The sequence below is a fragment of the Homo sapiens genome, chromosome 4 (assembly GCF_000001405.40).
Source record: "Homo sapiens chromosome 4, GRCh38.p14 Primary Assembly".
NCBI classification, from domain to species: domain Eukaryota; kingdom Metazoa; phylum Chordata; class Mammalia; order Primates; family Hominidae; genus Homo; species Homo sapiens.
The window spans coordinates 102,475,232-102,498,599 of NC_000004.12; the positions used below are offsets into that span (position 1 = coordinate 102,475,232).

A 23,368-nucleotide genomic window follows, 5' to 3' on the forward strand; every position below is an offset into this window, starting at 1 on the left:
TGAGGAGGGTTGGAGCCTGAAATCCCTGCTTGCTTTCTCAGCAAGGAGGCTTGTAGCCTGGGGCAAGATCTCAGTCTTACTCACTGGCTGCCTGGATATAAAATCAGTGCTGGTGGGGCATGGCGGGAGTGAGACGGGCCTTGCTGGCTGCATGGGAGCTGGGTGAGACCTGTCACTGCTGGCTTTCCTCTACTTCCCTGGTGACCTGTGTGATGTATGATGCAGGAGAGGCAGCCATAATTCCCTTGGAACATAACTCCATTGGCCTGAGAACCACACCTGCATCTCCTATTATAGCCATAGCAAGCCCTGCCCAAGGAGAGTCTGAGCTCAGACATACCTGACCCTGCCCTCAACAGATGGTCTTTCTCTACCTGCCTTGGTAGCCAAAGACAAAAGACATAATCTCTTAGGAGCTCTATGGACCTGCCCATCACCTGAGAGACCTGAATATTTATCCAGGTGACCATAGCGCAAGCTAGCATCCCACCTATACTACACCCTCCTTAGGGTAGGCTGGTTTGCCCCCATATTATCCCCCCATAGTACTCTTTTGAAAGCACCACCTCCTGACTGGAGGTGAATCAACTCAAGCTATTACAACCCTTATAAAAGAACAACCCTGCTCCAACAAAGAAGACAACAGCTAATTACATGGTCTGTAACATCATGGCTAACCAGAGGTCCTGAGTCTGTCCACATGACAACTTTACCACTAGCACAACCAGCACTTGAGAAAACCAGTTCACTGAACAAAACTACAACCAAGGACCCTTACAGAGTCCACTTCACTCCTCTGTTACTTCCACTGGAGCAGGTGCTGGTAGCCACAGCTGAGATACCTGAAGACTGATCACATCACAGGACTCTTTGCAGACACTCCCCAGTACTAGCCTAGAGCCCAGTAGCTCCAATGGGTGGCTACACCCAGAAGAGCAAAAGCAATCACTGCAGTCTGGCTCTCAGGAAGCCTCATCCCTAGGTGAATGAAGAGAGCACCATATCAAGGGATCACCCTGTGAGACAAAAGAATGTGAACAGCAGCCCTTGAGCCCCAGATATTTCCTCTGACACAGTCTACCCAAATGAGAAGGAAAAAGAAAAACAATTCTGGTAATATGACAAAGCAATGTTCTTTAACACCCCAAAAAAGATCACACTAGCTCACGAGCAATGGGTCCAAACCAAGAAGAAATCTGTGAATTGCCAGAAAAGGAATTCAGAAGATTGACTATTAAGCTATCCAAGGAGGCACCAGAGAAAGATGAAAACCAACTTAAAGAAAATTTAAAAATAATACAGGATATGGATGAAAAAATTTCCAGGGAAATAGCATAAATAAAAACAATCACGACTTCTGGAAATGAAACACACACTTAGAGAAATGCAAAATACACTGGAAAGTGTCAACAATAGAATCAAACAAGTAGAAGAAGGAACTTCAGAGCTCAAAGACAAGGCTTCAGAATTAAACCAATCTGACAAAGACAAAGAAAAAAGAATTTTTAAAAAATGAACAAAGGCTCCAAGAAGTTTGGGATCATGTTAAATGACCAAACCGAAGAATAATTGGTGCCCCTGAGGAAGAAGAAAAATCTAAAAGTTTGGGAAACTTATTTGAGGGAATAATCCAGGAAAACTTTTCTGGTCTTGTTAGAGATCTAGACATCCAAATACAAGAAGCTCAAAGAACACTTAAGAAATTCATCGCAAAAAGATAATCACCGAGGCACAGAGTCATCAGGTTATCTAAAGTCAAGACAAAAGCAAGAATCTTAAGAGCTGTGAGGCAAAAGTATCAGGTAAACTATAAAGGAAAACCTATCAGATTAACAGTAGATTTCTGAGCAGAAACCATACAAGCTAGATGGGATTGGGGTCCTATCTTTAGCCTCCTTGGACAAAACAGTTATTAGCCAACAATTTTGTACTCAGAAAAACTAAGCTTCATAAATGAAGAAAACTCTTTTTTAGAAAAACAAATGCTGAATTTGCCACTACCATGCCAGCAATACAAGAACTACTAAAAGGAGTTCTAAATCTTAAAATAAAACCTTGAAATTCGATAAAATAGAACCTCCTTAAAGCATTAATCTCATAGGGCCTATAAAACAATAACACAATGAAAAAAAACTTAGGCAACAAGTAGCACGATGAATAAAATAGCACCTCACATCTCAATACTAATGTTGACTGTAAATGGCCTAAATGCTTCACTTAAAAGATGCAGAATGCCAGAATGGATAAGAATTCACCAACCAAGTATCTGCTGTCTTCAAGAGAGTCAACTAACCCATAAGGACTAACATAAGCTTAAGGTGAAGGGGTAGAAAAAGAAGTTCCATGCAAATGAACACCAGAAGTGAGCAGGAGTAGCTATCCTTATATCAGACAAAACAGACATTAAAGCAACAACAGTTAAAAAAGACAAAGAGGGGGTCCTGGTACGGGACATGTGAGAGGTATGCTCCAACTTCCAGTTTCTGTGGAAATTCAGTAGAGAGATAAACGTTGTTTTCATCAAGGGTTTGTACCAGCTATTATTTCTTCCTGAAAAACAAACAAGCAAGTTTCTGTGGATCAGGAATTTGGGAGCAGATCAGCTGGAGGACTCTGACTCAGGATGTCTCATAAGGTTGCAATCAAGACATCAGCTAGGACTGTAATCATCTCAAGAAAATAAAGATCCATTCCAAGATGGCCGAATAGGAAGAGCTCTGGTCTGCAGCTCCCAGTGTAATCAACCCAGAAGAAGGGTGATTTCTGCATTTCCAACTAGGTATCTGGTTCATCTCATTGGGACTGGTTGGACAGTGGGTGCAGCCCACAGAGGGTGAACTGACGCAGGGCGTGGTGTCACCTTAGCAGGGAAATGCAAGGGATAGAGGGATTTCCCTTTCCTAGCCAAGGGAAGCCGTGACAGATTATACCTGGAAAAACGGGACACTCCCACCCAAATACTGCGCTTTTCCAAAGTCTTAGCAACTGGCAGACAAGGAGATACTCTCCCACACCTGGCTTGGCAGGTCCCACGCCCAGGGAGCCTTGCTCACTGCTAGCACAGCAGTCTGAGATCAAACTGCGAGGTGGAAGCCTGGCGGGGGGAGGGGCGTCCACCATTGCTGAGGCTTGAGTAGGTAAACAACGTGGCTGGGGAGCTCAAAATGGGTGGAGCCCACCACAGCTCACCAAGGCCTGCTGCCTCTAGACTCCACCTCTGTGGGCAGGGCTTAGCTGAACAAAATGCAGCAGACAACTTTTGCAGACTTAAATGTCCCTGTCTGACAGCTCTGAAGAGAGCAGTGGTTCTCCCAACATGGCGTTTGAGCTCTGAGAACCAACAGACTGCCTCCTCAAGTGGGTCCTTGACCCCCGTTTAGCCTAACTGGGAGACACCTCCCAGTAGGGGAGTGCCCCTCTGGGACAAAGCTTCCAGAGGAAGGATCAGGCAGCAATATTTGCTGTTCTGCATTATTTGCTGTTCTGCAGTTTCCACTGGTGACACCCAGGCAAACAGGGTCTGCAGTGGACCTCCAGCAAACTCCAACAGACCTGCAGCTGAGCAACCTGACTGTTAGAAGGAAAACTAACAACAGAAAGGAATAGCATCAACATCAACAAAAAGGACATCTACACCGAAACCCCATCTGTAGGTCACCAACGTCAAAGACCAAAGGTAGATAAAACAACAAAGATGGGGAGAAAACAGAGCAGAAAAGCTGAAAATTCTAAAAATCAGAGCGCCTCTTCTCCTCCAAAGGATTGCAGCTCCTCGCCAGCAACAGAACAAAGCTGGACTGAGAATGACTTTGACAAGTTGACAGAAGTAGGCTTCAGAAGGTTGGTAATAATAAACTTCTCCGAACTAAAGGAGCATGTTTGAACCCATTGCAAGGAAGCTAAAAACCTTGAAAAAAAGGTTAGATGAACGGCTAACTAGAATAAACAGTGTAGAGAAAACCTTAAATGACCTGATGGAGCTGAAAACCCATGGCATAAGAACTTCATGAGGCATGCACAAGCTTCAATAGCTGATTCAATCAAGTGGAAGAAAGGGTGTCAGTGACTGAAGATCAAATTAATGAAATAAAGCGAGAAGACAAGGTTAGAGAAAAAAGAGTAAAAAGAAATGAACAAAGTGTCCAAGAAATATGGGACTATGTGAAAAGACCAAATCTACATTTGATTGGTGTACCTGAAAGTGATGGGGAGAATGGAACAAAGTTAAAAAACATTCTTCAGGACATGATCCAGGAGAACTTCCCCAACCTAGCAAGGCAGGCCAACATTCAAATTCAGGAAACACAGAGAACACCACAAAGATACTCCTCGAGAAGAGCAACCCCAAGACACATAATTGTAAGATTCACTAAGGTTGAAATGAAGGAAAAAATGTTAAGGGCAGCCAGAGAGAAAGGTCAGGTTACCTACAAAGGGAAGCCCATCAGACTAACAGCAGATATCTTGGCAGAAACCCTACAAGCGAGAAGAGAGTGGGAGCCAATATTCAACATTCTTAAAGAAAAGAATTTTCAACCCAGAATTTCATATCCAGCCAAACTAAGCCTCATAAGTGAAGGAGAAATAAAATGCTTTACAGACAAGCAAATGCTGAGACATTTTGTCACCACCAGGCCTGCCTTATAAGAGCTCCTGAAGGAAGCGCTAAACATAGAAAGAAACAAACAGTACCAGCCACTGCAAAAACATGACAAATTGTAAAGACTACTGATGCTAGGAAGAAACTGTATCAATTAATGGGCAAAATAACCAGCTAGCATCATAATGACAGGATCAAATTCACACATAACAATATTAACCTTAAATGTAAATGGGCTAAATTCTCCAATTAAAAGACACAGACTGGCAAATTGGATAGAGTCAAGACCCATCATTGTGCTGTATTTAGGAAACCCATCTCACGTGCAGAGACACACATAGGCTCAAAATAAAGGGATGGAGGAAGATCTACCAAGCAAATGGAAAGCAAAAAAAAAGCAGGGGTTGCAATCCTAGTCTCTGATAAAAGAGACTTTAAACCAACAAAGATCAAAAGAGACAAAGAAGGCCATTACATAATGGTAAAGGGAGCAATTCAATAAGAGCTAACTATCCTAAATATACATGCACCCAATACAGGAGCACCCACATTCAAAAAGCAAGTCCTTAGAGACCTACAAAGAGATTTAGACTCCGACACAATAATAATGGGAGGCTTTAACACCCCACTGTCAATATTAGACAGATCAGCAAGACAGAAGGTTAACAAGGATATCCAGCACTTGAACTCAGCTCTGCACCAAGCATACCTAATAGCCATCTGCAGAACTCTCCACCCCAAATCAACAGAATATACATACTTCTCAGCACCACATCGCACTTATTCTAAAATTGACCACATAATTGGAAGTAAAGCACTCCTCAGCAAATATAAAAGAACAGAAATCACAACAAACTGTCTCTCAGACCACAGTGCAATCAAATTAGAACTCAGGATTAAGAAACTCACTCAAAACCACACAACTACATGGAAGCTGAACAACTTGCTCCTGAATGACTACTGGGTAAATAATGAAATGAAGGCAGAAATAAAAATGTTCTTTGAAACCAATGACAATGACAACAAAGACACAAAGTACCAGAATCTCTGGGACACATTTAAAGCAGTGTGTAGAAGGAAATATAGAGCACTAAATGCCCACAAGAGAAAGTGTGAAAGATCTAAAACCAATACCCTTACATCATAATTAAAAGAACTAGAGAAGCAAGAGCAAACACATTCAAAAGCTAGCAGAAGGCAAGAAATAACTAAGATCAGAGCAGAACTCAAGGAGATAGAGACACAAAAAGCCCTTCAAAAAATCAATGAATCCAGGATTTGGTTTTTTGAAAAGATCTACAAAATTGATAGACCACTAGCAAGACTAATAAAGAAGAAAAGAGAGAAGAATCAAATAGACGCAATAAAAAATGATAAAGGGATATCAACACCAATCCTGCAGAAATACAAACTAGCATCAGAGAATACTATAAACATTTCTATGCAAATAAACTAGAAAATCTAGAAGAAATGGATAAATTCCTGGACACATACACCCTCCCAAAACTAAACCAGGAAGAATTTGAATCTCTGAATAGTACAATAACAGTTTCTGAAATTGAGGCAATAATTAATAGCTTACCAACCAAAAAACTCCAGGACCAGGTGGATTCACAGCCAAATTCTACCAGAGGTACAAAGAGGAGCTGGTACCATTCCTTCTGAAATTATTCCAATCAATAGAAAAAGAAGGAACCCTCCCTAACTCATTTTGTGAGGACATCGTCATCCTGATATCAAAGCCTGGCAGAGATATAACAAAAAAAGAGAATTTCAGACCAATATCCCTGATGAACATCGATGTGAAAATCCTCAATAAAATACTGGCAAACTGAATCCAGCAGCACATCAAAAAGCTTATCCACCATGATCAGGTTGGCTTCATCCCTGGGATGCAAGGCTGGCTCAACATACACAAATCAATAAACATAATCCAACACATAAACAGAACGAATGACAAAAACCACATGATTATCTCAATAGATGCAGAAAAGGCCTTCAAAAAAATTCAACAACCCTTCATGCTAAAAATTCTCAATAAACTAGGTATTCATGTAACTTATCTCAAAATAATAAGAGCTATTTATGACAAACCCATGCAAATATCATACTGAATGGCCAAAAACTGGAAGCATTCCCTTTGAAAACTGCCACAAGACAAGGATGCCACCTCTCACCACTCCTATTCAACATAGTGTTGGAAGTTCTGGCCAGGGCAATCATGCAAGAGAAAGAAATAAATGGTATTCAATTAGGAAAAGAGGAAGTCAAACTGTCTCTGTCTGCAGATGACATGATTGTATATTTAGAAAAACCCCATCATTTCAGCCCCAAATCTCCTTAAGCTCCAGCAAAGTCTCAGGATACAAAATCAATGTGCAAAAATCACAAGCATTCTTATACACCAATAACAGACTAACAGAGAGCCAAATCATGAGCGAACTCCCATTCATTGCTACAAAGAGAATAAAATACCTAGAAATCCAACTTACAAGGGATGTGAAGAACCTCTTCAAGGAGAACTACAAACCACTGCTCAACAAAATAAAAGAGGACACAAACTAATGGAAGAACAACATTCCATGCTCATGGATAGGAAGAATCAATATCATGAAAATGGCCATACTGCCCAAGGTAATTTATAGATTCAACGCCATCCCCATCAAGCTACCAATGACTTTCTTCACAGAATTGGAAAAAACTACTTTAAAGTTCATATGGAACCAAAAAAGAGCCCACATTGCCAAGAAAATCCTAAGTAAAAAGAACAAAGCTGGAGGCATCATGTTACCTGACTTCAAACTGTACTACAAAGCTACAGTAACCAAAACAGCATGGTCCTGGTGCCAAAACAGATACATAGACCAATGGAACAGAAGAGAGGCCTCAGCAATAATGCCACATATCTACAACCATCTGATCTTTGACAAACCTGACAAAAACAAGAAATGGGGAAAGGATTCCTATTTAATAAATGGTACTGGGAAAACTGACTAGCCATACGTAGAAAGCTGAAACAGATCCCTTCCTTACACCTTATACAAAAATTAATTCAAGATGGATTAAAGACTTAAATGTTAGACCTAAAACCATAAAAACCCTAGAAGAAAACCTAGGCAATACCGAGAGGTGACAGCGTGCTGGCAGTCTTCACAGCTCTCGCTCGCTCTCGGCACCTCCTCTGCCTGGGCTCCTACTTTGGCGGCACTTGAGGAGCCTTTCAGCCTACTGCTGCACTATGGGAGACTTCTTCTGGGCTGGCCAAGGCCAGAGCCGGCTTTTTCAGCTTGCAGGGAGGTGTGGAGGGAGAGGCACGAGCAGGAACCAGGGCACTTGCGGGCCAGCTGGAGTTCCAGGTGAGCATGGGCTTGGCAGGCCCCGCACTCAGAACAGCCGGCCGGCCCTGCCGGCCCTAGGCAATGAAGGACTTAGCACCCGGGCCAGCGCCTGCGGAGGGTGTACTAGGTCCCCCAGCAGTGCCAGCCTACCGGTGCTGCACTCGATTTCTCGCCAGGCCTTAGCTGCCTTCCCACAGGACAGGCCTAAGGACTGCAGTCCCCCATGCCTGAGCCTTCCCCCGCCTCCGTAGGTTCCTGTGCAGCCCGAGCCTCCCCGAGGAGGAGCACCGCCCCCTGCTCCATGGCACCCAGTCCCATCAACCACCCAAGGGCTGAGGAGTGCAAGTGCATGGCGCAGGACTGGCAGGCAGCTCCACCTGCAGCCCCAGTGCAGGATGCACTAGGTGAAGCCAGCTAGGCTCCTGAGTCTGGTGAGGACATGGAGAGTCTTTATGTCTAGCTCAAGGATTGTAAACACACCAATCAGCACCCTGTGTCTAGCTCAAAGTTTGTGAGTGCACCAATCAACACTCTGTATCTAGCTACTCTGGTGGAGCCTTAGAGAATCTTTATGTCTAGCTCAAGGATTGTAAATACACCAATCGGCACTCTGTATCTAGCTCAAGGTTTGTAAACACACCAATCAGCACCCTGTGTCTAGCTCAAGGTTTGTGAGTGCACCAATTGACACTCTGTATCTAGCTGCTCTGGTAGGGCCTTAGAGAACCTTTACGTCTAGCTCAAAGATTGTAAATACACCAATCGGCACTCTGTATCTAGCTCAAGGTTTGTAAACACACCAATCAGCATCCTGTGTCTAGCTTAAAGTTTGTGAATGCACCAATCGACACTCTGTATCTAGCTGCTCTAGTGAGGCCTTGGAGAACCTTTGCGTGGATACTGTGTATCTAACTAATCTAATAAGGACGTGGAGAGCCTTTGTATCTAGCTCAAGGATTGTAAACGCACCAATCAGCGCCCTGTCAAAACAGACCACTCGGCTCCACCAATCAGCAGGATGTGGGTAGGGCCAGATAAGAGAAAAAAAGCAGGCTGCCCGAGCCTAGCAGCAGCAACCGGCTCAGGTCCCCTTCCACACTGTGGAAGCTTTGTTCTTTTGCTCTTTGCAATAAATCTTGCTACTGCTCACTCCTTAGGTCCACGCTGCTTTTATGAGCTGTAACACTCACCGTGAAGGTCTGCAGCTTCACTCCTGAAGCCAGCAAGACCACTAGCCCACCGGGAGGAACAAACAACTTCAGACGTGCTGCCTTAAGAGCTGTAACACTCACCGCGAAGGTCTGCAGCTTCACTCCTAAGCCAGCGAGACCACAAACCCACCAGAAAGAAGAAACTCCAAACATATCTGAACATCAGAAGGAACAAACTCCAGACGCGCCACCTTAAGAGCTGTAACACTCACCGCGAAGGTCCACAGCTTCATTCTTGAAGTCAGTAAGACCAAGAACCCACCAATTCCAGACACAATACCATTCAGGACATAGGCATGGGCAAGGACTTCATGACTAAAACACCAAAGGCAATGGCAACAAAAGCCAAAATTGACAAATGGGATCTAATTAAACTAAAGAGTTTCTGCACAGCAAAAGAAACTACCATCAGAGTGAACAGGCAACCTACAGAATGGGAGAAAATTTTTGCAATCTACCCATCTGACAAAGGGCTAATATCCAGAATCTACAAAGAACTCAAACAAATTTACAACAAAAAAAACAACCACATCAAAAAGTGGGCAAAGGATACGAACAGACACTTCTCAAAAGAAGACATCTATGCAGTCAACAGACACATGAAAAAATGCTCATCATCACTGGCCATCAGAGAAATGCAAATCAAAACCACAATGAGATACCATCTCACACCAGTTAGAATGGCAATCATTAAAAAGTCAGGAAACAACAGATGCTGGAGAGGATGTGGAGAAATAGGAGCGCTTTTACACTGTTGGTGGGAGTATAAATTAGTTCAACCATTGTGGAAGACAGTGTGGCGATCCCTCAAGGATCTAGAACCGGAAATACCATTTGACCCAGCAATCTCATTACTGGGTATATACCCAAAGGATTATAAATCATGCTACTATAAAGACACATGCATAGACATGTTTATTGTGGCACTATTCACAATAGCAAAGACTTAGAACCAACCCAAATATCCATCAATGATAGACTGGATTAAGAAAATGTGGCACATATACACCATGGAATACTATGCAGCCATAAATAAGGATATTTATTATAAAATAAAAGTTCATGTCTTTTGCAGGGACATGAATGAAGCTGGAAACCAACATTCTCAGCAAACTACCACAAGGACAGAAAACCAAACACCACAGGTTCTCACTCATCGGTGGGAATTGAACAATGAGATCACTTGGACACAGGGCAGGGGATATTACACACTGGGGCCTGTCGGGGGATGGGGGTTAGGGGAGGGATAGCATTAGGAGAAATAATTAATGTAAATGACGAGTTGATGGGTGCATCAAACCAACATGGCACATGTATACCTATGTATCAAACCTGCATGTTGTGCACATGTACCCTAGAACTTAAAGTATAATAATTAAAAAAAAAAAAAAGAAAATGGGGGTGGGGAGGACAGAGAGAGGAAAGAAGGAGTCAAAAGGAGGGAAAAAGGAGTGGGGAATAAAATAATTCTCATGTTTAAGAGGGACATTATATAATGATAAAAGAACTAGTCCAAAGGGAAAATATCACAATCCTAAATATATATGCACCTAACACTGAAGCTCCAAATTTAATAAAACAATTACTACTAGACCTGAGAAATGAGATAGACAGCAACACAATAATAGTGGGGACTTTAATACTCCACTGACACCACTGGATAGGTGATCACGACAAAAGTCAACAAAGAAACAAGACTTAAAGTATAACCCAGAACAAATGGACTTAGCAGATATTTACAGAACATTCTACCCAGCAACTGCAGAATATATATTCCATTCATCCACACATGGAACATTCTCCACGACAGATGATATGATAGGTCACAAAACAAGTCTCAATAAAGTTAAGAAAATCAAAATTATATCAAGTACTCCCTCATACCACAGCAAAATAAAATTGGAAATTAACTCCAAAAAGAACCTCAAAACTAAACAAATACATAGAAATTAAATAATCTGCTCCTGAAGGTTCTTTGGGTAAGCAATGAAATCAAGATGGAAAATAAAAAATTATTTGAACAATAATAGTGACACAACCCGTTAAAACCTCTGGGATACAGCAAAAGCAGTGCTAAGAGGAAAGTTCATAGCATTAAATGCCTACATCAAAAATTCTGATGTAGGCATCAGACAATCTAAGCTCACACCTCAAAGAACAATAGAAACAAGAAGAAACCAAACAAACCAAACCCAAACCCAGCAGAAGAAAAAAAAAAATAACTAAGATCCAAGCAGATCTAAATGAAATTGAAACAAAAATGCAAAACATAAGTGAAACAAAAAGCTGTTTACTTGAATAGATAAACAAAATTCGTACACCATTAGTGAGATTAACCAATAAAAGAAGATCCAAATAAGCTCAATTAGAAATGAAATGGGAGATATTACAACAGATACCACAGAAATACAAAAGGTAATTCAGGGTTACTATGAACACTTTTATGTGCACAAACTAGAACACCCAGAAGAGATGGATAAATTCCTGGAAATACATGCTCCTAGATTGAGCCAGGAAGATATATAAACTCTGAACAGATCAATAACAAGCAGCGAGATTGAAATGGAAACAAAAAAAAATTGCCAACAAAAAACAGTCCAGGACCAGACAGATTCGCAACTGAATTCTATCGGAAAGTCAAATAAGAATTGGTACCAATTTTAATGAAACTATTCCAAAAGATAGAAAAAGAGGGAATCTTTCATAAATCATTCTATGAAGCCAGTATTATCCTAACACCAAAACCAGTAAAGGACATAACAAAAAAAAGGAAAGCTACAGACCAACATCCCTGATGAACATAGATGCAAAAATCCTCAACAAAATACTAGTGAACCGAATCCAACAGCATATCAAAAAGACAATTCGCCATAATCAAGTGGGTTTCATAAAAGGGATTCAGGGATGGTTTAACATACACAAGTCAAAAAATGTGATACACCACATGAACAGAATTAAAAACAAAAATTGCATGACCATCTCAATAGATGCAGAAAAAAAAACTGACAAAAGCCAGCATCCCTTTATGATTAAAACCCTCAGCAAAATCGGCATAGAAGGGATATACCTTAAGGTGATAAAAGTCCCCGCAGCCAACATTATACTGAATGGGGAAAAGTTTAAAGCATTCCCCCTGAGAACTGGAACAAGACAAGGATGCCTGCTTTCACCATTTGTATTCAACATAGAAGTGGAAGTCCTAGCCAGAGCAGTCAGACAAGAGAAAGAAAGAATGGGCATCCAAATCAGTAAAGAGGAAGTCAAACTGTTGCTGTTCACCAATGATATAATCACATACCTAGAAAACCCTAAAAATGCATCCAAAAAGCTCCTAGATCTGATAAATAAATTCAGTAAAGTTTCAGGATACAAAATCAATGCATACAAATCAGTAGCACTGCTATACACCAACAGCAACCAAGCTGAGAATCACATCAAGAACTCAATCCCTTTTACAATACCTGTAAAAATAAAATAAAATACTTAGGAATATACCTAACCAAGGATGTGAAAGACCTCTACAAGGAAAACTACAAAACACTGCAGAAAGAAATCATAGATGGCACAAACAAATGGAAAACACATCCCATGCTCATAATTGGGTAGAACCAATATTGTGAGAAATAACCATACTGCCAAAAGCAATCTACAGATTCAATGCAATTCCCATAAAAATAACACCATCATTCTTCACAGAATTAGAAAAAAAAATCCTAAAATTCATATGGAACCCAAAAAAGAGCCTGCATAGCCAAAGCAAGACTAAGAAAAAAGAACAAATCTGGAGGGATCACATTACCTGACTTCAAACTATACTCTATGGCCATAGTCACCAAAACAGCATGGCACTGAAAAATAGGCACATAGACCAATGGAACAGAATACAAAACCCAGAAATAAAGCCAAATACTTACAGTCAACTGATTTTCAGCAAAGGAAACAAAAACATAAAATGGGGAAAGGACACCCTTTTCAACAGATGGTCCTGGGATAACTGGCAAACCGCATGTAGAAGAATGAATCCAGATCCTCATCTGTCACCCTATATAAAAATCAACTCAAGATGGATCAAAGAATTAAATCTAAGACATGAAACCATAAGATGCTAGAAATTAACATCAGAACAACTTTTCTAGACATTAGCTTAGGCAAAGACTTCATGACCAAGAACCCAAAAGGAAATGCAACAAAAACAAAGATAAATAGATGGGAATAAACTAAAAATCTTCTGCACAGAAAAAGGAATAATTAGCAGAGTAAACAGACAATCCACAGGTGGTAGAAAATATTTGCAAACTATGTGTGATGATTAATATTGAGTGTCAACTTGATTGGACTGAAGGATTTAAAGTATTGTTCCTGGGTGTGTCTGTGAGGGTTTGGCCAAAGGAGATTAACATTTGAGTCAGTGAACTGGGAGAGGAAGACTCATCCTCAGTGTGGGTTGGCACCATCTAATCCCACCATATGAAGAAGGATGTGTTTGCTTCCCCTTCTGCCATGATTATAAGTTTCCTGAGGCCTCCTCAGCCCTGCAGAACTGTGAGTTAATTAAACCCCTTTCCTTTAAAAATTACCTAGTTTTGGGTATTTCTTCATAGCCGCGTGAGAATGAACTAATACACTATGCATCCAACAAAGGACTAATACCCAGAAACTATAAAAAACTCCAACAAATCAGCAAGAAATAAAACAAATAATCCCATAAAAAAGTGGGCTAAGGGCATGAATAGACAATTCTCAGAAGAAGATATACAAATGGCCAAGAAACATAGGAACAAATGCTCAACATCACTAATGATCAGGGTAATGCAAATCAAAACCACAATACAAAACCACCTTACTCCTGCAGGAATGGCCACAATTTAAAAAATCAAAAAATAATAGATACAAAACCACCTTACTCCTGCAACAATGGCCACAATTAAAAAATCAGAAAATAATAGATGTTGGCATGGATGTGCTGAAAAGGGAAGACTTTTATACTGCTGGTGGGAATGTAAACTAGTACAACCACTATGGAAAACAGTATGGAGATTCCTTAAAAAACTGAAAGTAGTCCTACCATCTGATCCAGCAATCTCACTGCTGGGTATCTACCCAGAGGAAAAGAAGTTGTTATATGAAAAAGATATTCGCACATGTAGGTTTATAGCAGCACAATTCACAATTGCAAAAATAGGAACCAGCTCAAATACCCATTAATCAACAAGTGGATAAAGAAAATGTGAGATATACATAGATAGATGATGGATAGATTAGATAGACAGATAGATGATTGATAGATAGATAGATAGATAGATAGATAGATAGATAGATAGAAAATGGAATGCTACTCAACCATAAAAAGTAACAAAATAATGGCACTTGCAGCAACCTGGATGGAATTGGAGACCATTATTCTAAGTGAAATAACTCATGAATGGAAAACTAAACATCGTATGTTCTCACTTATAAGTGAGAGCTAAGCTATGAAGACACAAAGGCATAAAAATGATACAATGGACTTTGGGGACTCAGAGGGAAGGGTGGAAGAGGGGGTGAAGGATAAAAGAATACACGTTGGGTACAGTGTACACTGCTTGGGTGATGGGTGCACCAAAATCTCAGAAATCACCACTAAAGAACTTATCCGTGTAACCAAACCCCACCTGTTACCCAAATACCTATTAAAATATTTTTTAATTAGAAGAGGAGAGAACACTTTTCAATTCATTCTAAAATGCTAACATTATCCTAAGGCCAAAACAAGATAAAGACATTACAAGAAAATAAAACTACCGACAAGTATCCTTAATAAACATAGATGCAAAAGTGCTTTACAAAATTTTGGCAAATTGAATTCAACAATATATAAAAAGGATAATATGAATAACAGCTGGGAGATATCCTAGGAATGCAGCATTCATTTGACATTCAAAGATCAATGAATTTCAATATATTAACAAACTAAAAAAGAAAAATAATATGACCGTATCAATTCAGGCAGAAAACACATTTGACAAAAGCCAACACATTAATGATATTTAAAAAAAAAATCTCACCCAAGTTGAAATAGAAGGTAACTTCCTTATCCTGACATAGGACCTCTACAAAAACTTAGATCAAACATCATACTTAATAGGAAAAGATTTAATGCTTTTCCTTTAAAATTGGGAATAAAACAAAGATGTCTGTTTGCACCACATCTATTGAACATTGTACCAGTGATTCTAACTGGCGCAATCAGGCAAAAAAAAAGGAAATAAAGGGCATCTAGGTTAAAAAAGAAGTAAAACTATTTTATTCACAGATGACATGATCATCTAGGTAGAAGATCCAATCAAATTTACAAAAAAAAACCTACTAGAGTAATGAATTTATCAAAGTAGCAAGATGCAGGATCCATAAATAAGAATCAATTGTATTTCTATATATTAGCAATGAAAAACTGAAATTAAACATTAAAATTGTATTTTATTTTTCTGAGACAGAGTCTCACTCTGTCACCCAGGCTGGAGTGTAGTGGCGTAATCTTGGCTCATTGCAACCTCCGCCTCCCAGGTTCAAGTGATTCTCCTGCCTCAGCTTCCCAAGTAGCTGGGACTACAGCTGCACACCATCATGCCCAGCCAATGTTTGATTTTTTTTTTTTAGTAGAGATGGGGTTTCTCCACATTGGCCAGTCTGGTCTCAAACTCCTGACTTCAAGTAATCTGCCCACCTCAGCCTCCTAAAGTGCTGAGATTACAGGCGTGAGCCACTGTGCCCGGCCTTAACATTAAAATTTTAAAACACTATTTAAATAGCACTAAGAATATAAATACTTAAGGATAAATCTGACAAAAGATGTGAAAGTCCTAAATAGAGAAAAACATACAACACAACTATGAGAAATTAAAGAATGTCCAAGTAAATGGAGACACATACCCTGTTCATGAGACAAAAAACTCATTATTATGATAGCAGTTCTTCCCAAGTTGTTCTGGAGATTTAATGCAATCCAAATCAAAACCCTAACAAACTTATTGTAGAAATTGACAAGCTGGTTCTAAAATGAATTCAGAAATGCAAAGGACCTAGAATAGCCAAAACAACCTTGAAAAAGTGAACAAAGTTGGAGGACTAACACTTCCTGATTTCAAGACTTATTGTAAAGCTATAAAGTAATCAAAAAGGTGTGGTATTATCATATAGATAGAGAAAAGATCAATGGAACAAAATAGAGTCCAGACATACAGATACAACTGATTTTTAACAATTTGCAAAGGCAATTTAGTGAAGAAAGGATAGTTTTTTTTTTCAACAAATGCTGCAGAATCAGTTGGAAATCAATAATCTAAAAAGAAAAAACTTCAATCCATATCTTGTACCACTATATGCAAAACTTAACTCAAAATGTATCATAGACCTGAATTTAAGTCCTCAAACTACAAAAGTTCTAGAAGAAAATAGAGGAGAAAATCTTAGTGAGTTTGAGTCAGGCAAAGAGTATGTGGATACAACACTGAAACCACAATGCAGTAAAAAACTGACAAATTATACTTCATCAAATTTAAAATCTTCTCTGCAAAAGAGGATGAAAAGACAAGTCACAGGCTAAAAAATATGTATTTGCAAATCATATATCTGGTAAAATACTTTTATCCAGAATATAAAATGAACTCTCAAAATTCAATAATAAGAAAAAAAATACACCAAAAGTAAACAAAACATTTGAACATGCATTTCACCAAATGGCAAATAAGCACATAAACAGATGCCCATCATCATTAGTCATTAGGGTAAAGCAAAGTAAAGCACAATGAGATACCACTAAACATATCAATTGAGACGATTAAAATAAAAAAGACTGACCATACCAAGGATTGCAAATATATGAAGGAGCTAGAACTCTCATTTCCTGTAGTGGGAATATAAAATAATATACTCTTTGGGAGAACAGTCTGCAGTTTCTTAAAAAGTTACATGTATGCTAACTATACGCTCTAGCCATTTCACTTGTAGGTATTTCCCATGACAAAAGAAAGTATATGTCTATATAAACAGTTAAATAGTTACACACAAATGTTTTAGTGGTTTTATTAATATATCCCAAAACTGGAAACAACCTAAATGTCTATGAACAGGAAAATGGATAAATAAATTGTGACTATCTATACAATGGAATGCTACTCAACAATAAAAAGGAATTAACTACTGATACAACAAGGTGGATGAATTTTAAGATAATCATGCTCAATGAAAGAAGTCAGATAAAAAATAGTACCTACTGTATGATTCCATTTATATGAAACTCTAGAAAATGCAAACTAATCTATGACAGAAAGCAAATCAGTGGTTGCTTAGGAATGTGGAGGAGTGAGGAATGGAAATGAGGAACTGCAGAGGGCCATGAGAAAACTTTTCAGCTGATGCACATGGTCACTGTCTTTATTATGGTGATGGTCTCATGGGTATATATATATATCAAAAACAACTCTCTCTCTCTCTCTCTCTCCAATCCCCCAACCCCATCTCTTACAACAAGAAAGTATGTCCCTAGTATATCTGGAAGCCATCTTTTGACCAAGAGAAAAGCCAGCATGAGGAAACTGTTAACACAGGGACAGAAGAAAAGAAAATGTCTCTGAAGGGAAGAGAGCCAGAATTGTGATTACATTAAACCTAAAGATTTTCAACGATGTGACCTGATGAAATTCCATAATGGTTAAGTCATTTTGAGTCATAATTTTACATCTTTTCACCTTAGGTGAAAAGCATCCTAACCAAGATAAGTATATGCTCAGCATTATATTGATAATTTATAATACGCCATTGGAAAAAAACTCTCTTCCTGGCATTTAATTATATTACTTATTTCAAAGAAAATGCAGTAAAAAACTGATCTGTATATCTACTGATATGTCTATCAGTAAAACAGATAAGTATATCTATGTATACCTACTATGCATAAGCCTTACAGGTGCTACATAGAGGTGATATCTGTTGTTTATACTCTTTGTCTTCCCTTCTTCCTTTTTTTGATAACAGTGCCCCAATTTACGCTTAGCTAACCATAATCTAGCATTACTAATTCATGTCTTCCAGATGAGATAGACCCTCCTTGTCACTAAAAGTAGACATGTGACTCACAGCATTGTAAGAAGATAGTAATGGAACACAGGTCCCCAAATTTACCCTCCCAATCTCTTCTCAATTACTTTCCCCAACAAGAAAAAATGCTACTGCAGGTAAGCAGGGGCATCTAAAGCAGGGTCACTTGAGGTCACAGGCTCCAGGGTCTCTAAAAGGAAAGAGATACTCTCACTCTTCTCTGTTTTAGGTAGTCTGGAGGGCCTTGTTATAGAAAGACTTAAAACAAAGGTCTCAATTTTATGGCTTCCAGTGAAAGTTAGCCTGAGGAAACCTATGAATGCCTTCAGGAAAGCATTACATGGGCTTATTTGTGTGTGTTCTTGGGAAGGTCAGACTAATCTGGGTAGTGACAGGTCATATGGAGGAACGCTGCACTCATGGAAGAGTTGCTTGTAGCCCCTGAGGTTAGGCAAGCATTCTCCCTTGCACCCAGGGAGCTCTGGGAGAAGAAAGACTTTTTTTAAAGCTTCAGCTGGGTGTGGACAGATTGCCAGTTGGTTTACTGCCAGCCCACAAAAGCAGAAACCTTTCCCCTGGCAGGTTTGCCACTGCATAAAAGACCCTAACTACTTGTCCTGTAATTATAGGTCAGTGTATACAGAGCCTGAGGTCTGAACAGGAAATGGAAAATAATAACTTGCCCTAGTAGTACTAGCAAGCCAGAGAGGAAAACTAAGATAAACACTTCAAACAGGTGTTTTGTTGAAATAGAACTGTTAGAAGAGCCAGGTGAAAACTTTTCTAAAAAGTAATAAATTCACTCAAGAAGATATAATTAAAGATTAGGAGTTAAATATATGATAGATGCTAGAATGATAAAATATACATATTTTAAAAATAGGTAATGACTCCATGTGTTTCTGACAGTATACCCTTCCTGGTTGAAATAACTAAAATGAAATAACTAATGGAAATAACTGAAATGCTACATAACATATTTTTAAAAATTAATACTGCTTAGCCGGCATGAAATTCAGGAATCTAAATATTTCCAAAACTGAAAAACTGGAGGGAATAGCTGAGAAATTGACTTAGTCTGTTTTGTGTTGCTATCACAGAAAACCACAGACTGGGTAATTTATAATGAAAAGAAATTTGTATCTCACAGTTCTGGAGGCTGGGAAGTCCAATATCAAGGTGCCAGCATCTTGTGAAAGCTTTCTTGCTACATCATCCCATAGTGAAAGGCAGAAGAGCAAAAGAGCAGACACTCAAGAGAGAAAGTAACCTACTCCTACAATAATGGCATTCATCCATTTATGGGGGTAGAGACCTCATGACCCAATCAGCTCTCAAAGGTCTCACCTCTCAACACTGTTGAATGGGGAGTTAAGTCCCAACACAGGAACTTTGGGGGACATGTTCAAACGATAACACTGCCTATCTAGTCCTTGTCACTGGACAGAAAAAGAAGAAATTCTCACCTGTGAATTCATAACCACTTACACTATATGTGATGATCAAAAGCACACAAGTAAAAAATTTTATTTAAGGTTTTTCCAAGTTAATAGTATACCAGATAACAGGCAAAAAGAAGCACAAATATTCCTTACTCAATTTTAACCTAAGCTTCAAATAATTTCCAGAGATTGTTTCAAGAAACGTAAGCAATTTATTATTTATAATTCAGTTGACATATTAAACAGCATATGAAATATAGCTGAAAAGAGAATTGATAAACTAGAAGGCAAATATAAAGAAATTATCCAGAATGAAATCCAAAGAGATAAGAGATATTAAAAGACACAGAGATTAGATTGAGAAGATCTAACATATACCTAATTTAAATTCCAGAAAACAAGTCTAGGGAAAATGAAAGAGAGGAAATGTTACAAAAGATAATGGACTAGGAATGTAACTGTTGAAACATCAAATCTTGAGACCCAGGGAGCCATATAACATGCTTCCAAAATCCAAGCTTATTATATTAATATACAAAAACATTAATATTAATATTATATATTAATGTTATTGTTAATATAATCATTATATTATTAAACATATAATTTATACATAAACAATATATTATATATAAATGTATATGATATATAATATACAATAGTTATAATATATAATAAATTATATATTGACTTCTATATAATATAGAATTATATAACTTATAAATTATATATAGCTTTATATATAAATCAATAATTATATATTGATGTGTACAATTATTATTTTATATTATTATTAATAATTATATAATTGGTATTATATAAATATTAATTTTATATTGCAATAGTTATAAAGTAAATATCATATAACATTATTAATATAATAAATATAGTATATTAATATTAATAACTTGTATTTATTAACAATATATTAATAAATGACATAATTTCACATTTCTTTCAGATTTCTGTAAAAGCTTATCAGGAGTTATATATATGCAAAACCATATTTATCTTATTAAAGAGGCATGTATAAGTGTCAGACCATCACTTATGAATAGATTTGACAGCCAGATATACAACCTTTCAGAAAACAGAAGCAAACCTCCTCCATAAAAACAAGTAATTGGCAGCTGTCTCAATGATGTCCAGTAACTAGCCTTATTTCACTCAGAACAGTTTTGTCGGCTTCATATAGCATGACCAATCACCCTGGTTTACTAGAGCCTGAGGGTTTCCTGCGCAAGGGACTCTCTGTGCTAAAAGCAAGATAGTCCTGGATCAACCGGGATGAGTTAAGTCTCTATTTCCATGCCTTCATAGAAATCATTAAAAGATATCTCTCTGTTATGGGCTGAATAATGTCACCCACCCTGAAATTCCTATGTTGAAGTCCTAACCCCCAGTACCTCAGAATGTAACTGGATTTTGAGATAGGGTTTTTAAAGAGGTATATAAGTTAAAATGAGGACAGTGGGATGGGCCCTAATCTAATATGACTGATGTCCTTATAAGACGAAATGATTTGGACGTGGACACAGAGGGACAACCACATGAGGACAGGGAGAAGATGGCCATCTGCAAGCCAAGGAGAGAAGCCCTCAAGTAAACCAATGCTGCCAACACATTGCTGTTGAACTTCCAGTCTCTAGAACGATAAAAAATATTTCTGTTGTTTAAGCCACCCAGTCTGAGATATTTTGTTTTGGCAGCCCTAACAAACACATTCTCTAAGGGTTTATTCTCATTTTTGGTTTAGTGTATTTCAGCTGATGATTATAGCCTAATCCTCCCCCTCTTCTTGGGGCCTCTCTTCTCTGTACTCTTCCTCCTCATATCTCACACAGGCAGATTTGTTCCTGCCTCCTCACCTACATTACGAGCTCCGCACAGTCTCCTTTCTTCTGGCTCCGGCTCCCTCATTAATCTTTCTGTTATTAACGCTATTAACTCGTTAAACTATCTCTCCACCTTTCCAAACTTCCATTAACTCTGGCACTCCATAAGTGTTAGTCAAATAAATGAAGAATCACACTAACTCCTCTTTCCTTCCCTCTCACTCCAAACTCTTGGTGAGATTCTTTTGCACTTATGCCCTCGTTTCCCCATTTCCCACTCACTTGTCAGTCTCCTCATTCTTGGTTTTCCTCATTATATTGAAACACATCTGAAAAAGTCATGTAAGACCACAGCCACTGCGTATCAGTGCTATTTGAGAGTTAATAAAGTTCCCTTTTCCTCCAAGACAGCGAGCAGAGTGAACAGAAGAAAGACTGGTTTCTGCCCTTGGCTGCACAGCCATGCCCCGAGGCCGGGCTTAGGATTTTATAATTCACAAAGTCAACTGTCTCTTCCCCTCTCCATCCTTTAGGAACTGTCTGCAGTATCTGACACTGTTGAGAGCTCTCATACCCTTTAAACTCTCTCTTCTCTGGCTTTCTGAGCTTTCCTCCCACTTTTGATGGCACTGCAGGAGTTTTTAAGCATCTCTCTCTCATACCAACCCCAGAAATAAAGTCATTCCTCGAATTCCTGTACTTAGCCCCTTGTCTCCTAACTCTTTGACCACTAATGTTTTAGAAACACTCTCCTGACAACTATCGCATCTTTGCAGTTGTTTCCATTTCCAACGCCATGTCTCTCTGAGCAGCAGCCTTGAGTTTTCAATTGCATATTTATTAGTCATTTCCATATGGACATCTCACTAAATCTGTCATACTAAACATGTCTAAAATATGTATGTTTACATGTTACATGTATGTTTGGTATGTGGGAATGCATTACATTCCCACAGATTTTTTCCCAGTTACAGTGTTACTATTCTAATCACTCAGACTAGAACACTCAGAGCTATCTATGAGTCTTCCTCTCACTCAAACTGCATATATAATCTATAAACAGGTCCTGTTGACCTCATCTTCTAAAAATCTCTTACATGCTCCTTTTTATATCATTGGATAATAGTTTAGTGTGGTGGTTAATATCATGCACACTGGAGCCAAATCTGTTAGGTTCAAATCCTGACTCTCCTTCTATTTACTAATTATGAAACCTTAGGAAAATTATTCAACTTTTCATCTGTAAATATGGGGATTATAATGGTGATCCACTTTATATGACTGACAACCAAATAAGTGAATACGTGTATAGCAGGTATTAACCATATGCTTAGCCGACCTATTTCAACCTCCTAACCAACCAGAAGAACTGTAGTTCCCTGCTCTCTTGCATCTAAGTGGGGCCATGGAATGTGGGCAGAAGTGTTGTGTCACCTTTACTCAGAGGCAATTAAAAAGAAGACATACTTTTCCTATGTTCTCATTGCCAATGAACACACTACACAGATCTCAACCTCAGAATTCTCTCCACACTGGTATTTCCAAAATAGCTTCATGAGAAGGGAAATTTGTGTAGTTTCAATGATTTAGTGATGCTATGGTTTGGGTATTTGTCTCCTCTAAACCTCATGTTGAAATGTGACCCCAATTTTGGAGGTGGGGCCTAATGGGAGATGTTTCGGTCATGGAGGTGGATCCCTCACAAATAGATTGATGCTATTCCCTGCAAGGAGGAGAGGATGAGTGAGTTCTCACTGCATTAGTTCCTATGAGAGCTGGTTGCTAAAAAGTTTGGCATCTCTCCCCTCTCTCTCGCCATACGATCTCTCTGCACACACCACCCGCCTTTGCCTTCCATTGAGTGGAA

The 23,368-nt window shown here is 38.9% G+C and overlaps 1 long non-coding RNA gene across 1 annotated transcript in view, besides 1 other annotated feature; it reads right to left on the minus strand.

Annotated features, from left to right (window-relative positions):
• NFKB1-AS1 (NFKB1 antisense RNA 1) overlaps positions 1 to 23,368 on the minus strand; it is an 83,885-nt gene that overhangs the window by 56,630 nt on the left and 3,887 nt on the right. The window lies entirely within an intron of this gene.
• Positions 2,507 to 3,706: an enhancer, noted in NCBI's record as "BRD4-independent group 4 enhancer chr4:103398895-103400094 (GRCh37/hg19 assembly coordinates)". NCBI's record gives its function as "activates an origin of replication core promoter dependent on BRD2, P300/CBP, MED14 and CDK7 cofactors, and independent of BRD4, by STARR-seq in HCT116 cells {active_cell/tissue: HCT116}" and the evidence as "EXISTENCE:reporter gene assay evidence [ECO:0000049][PMID:35650434]".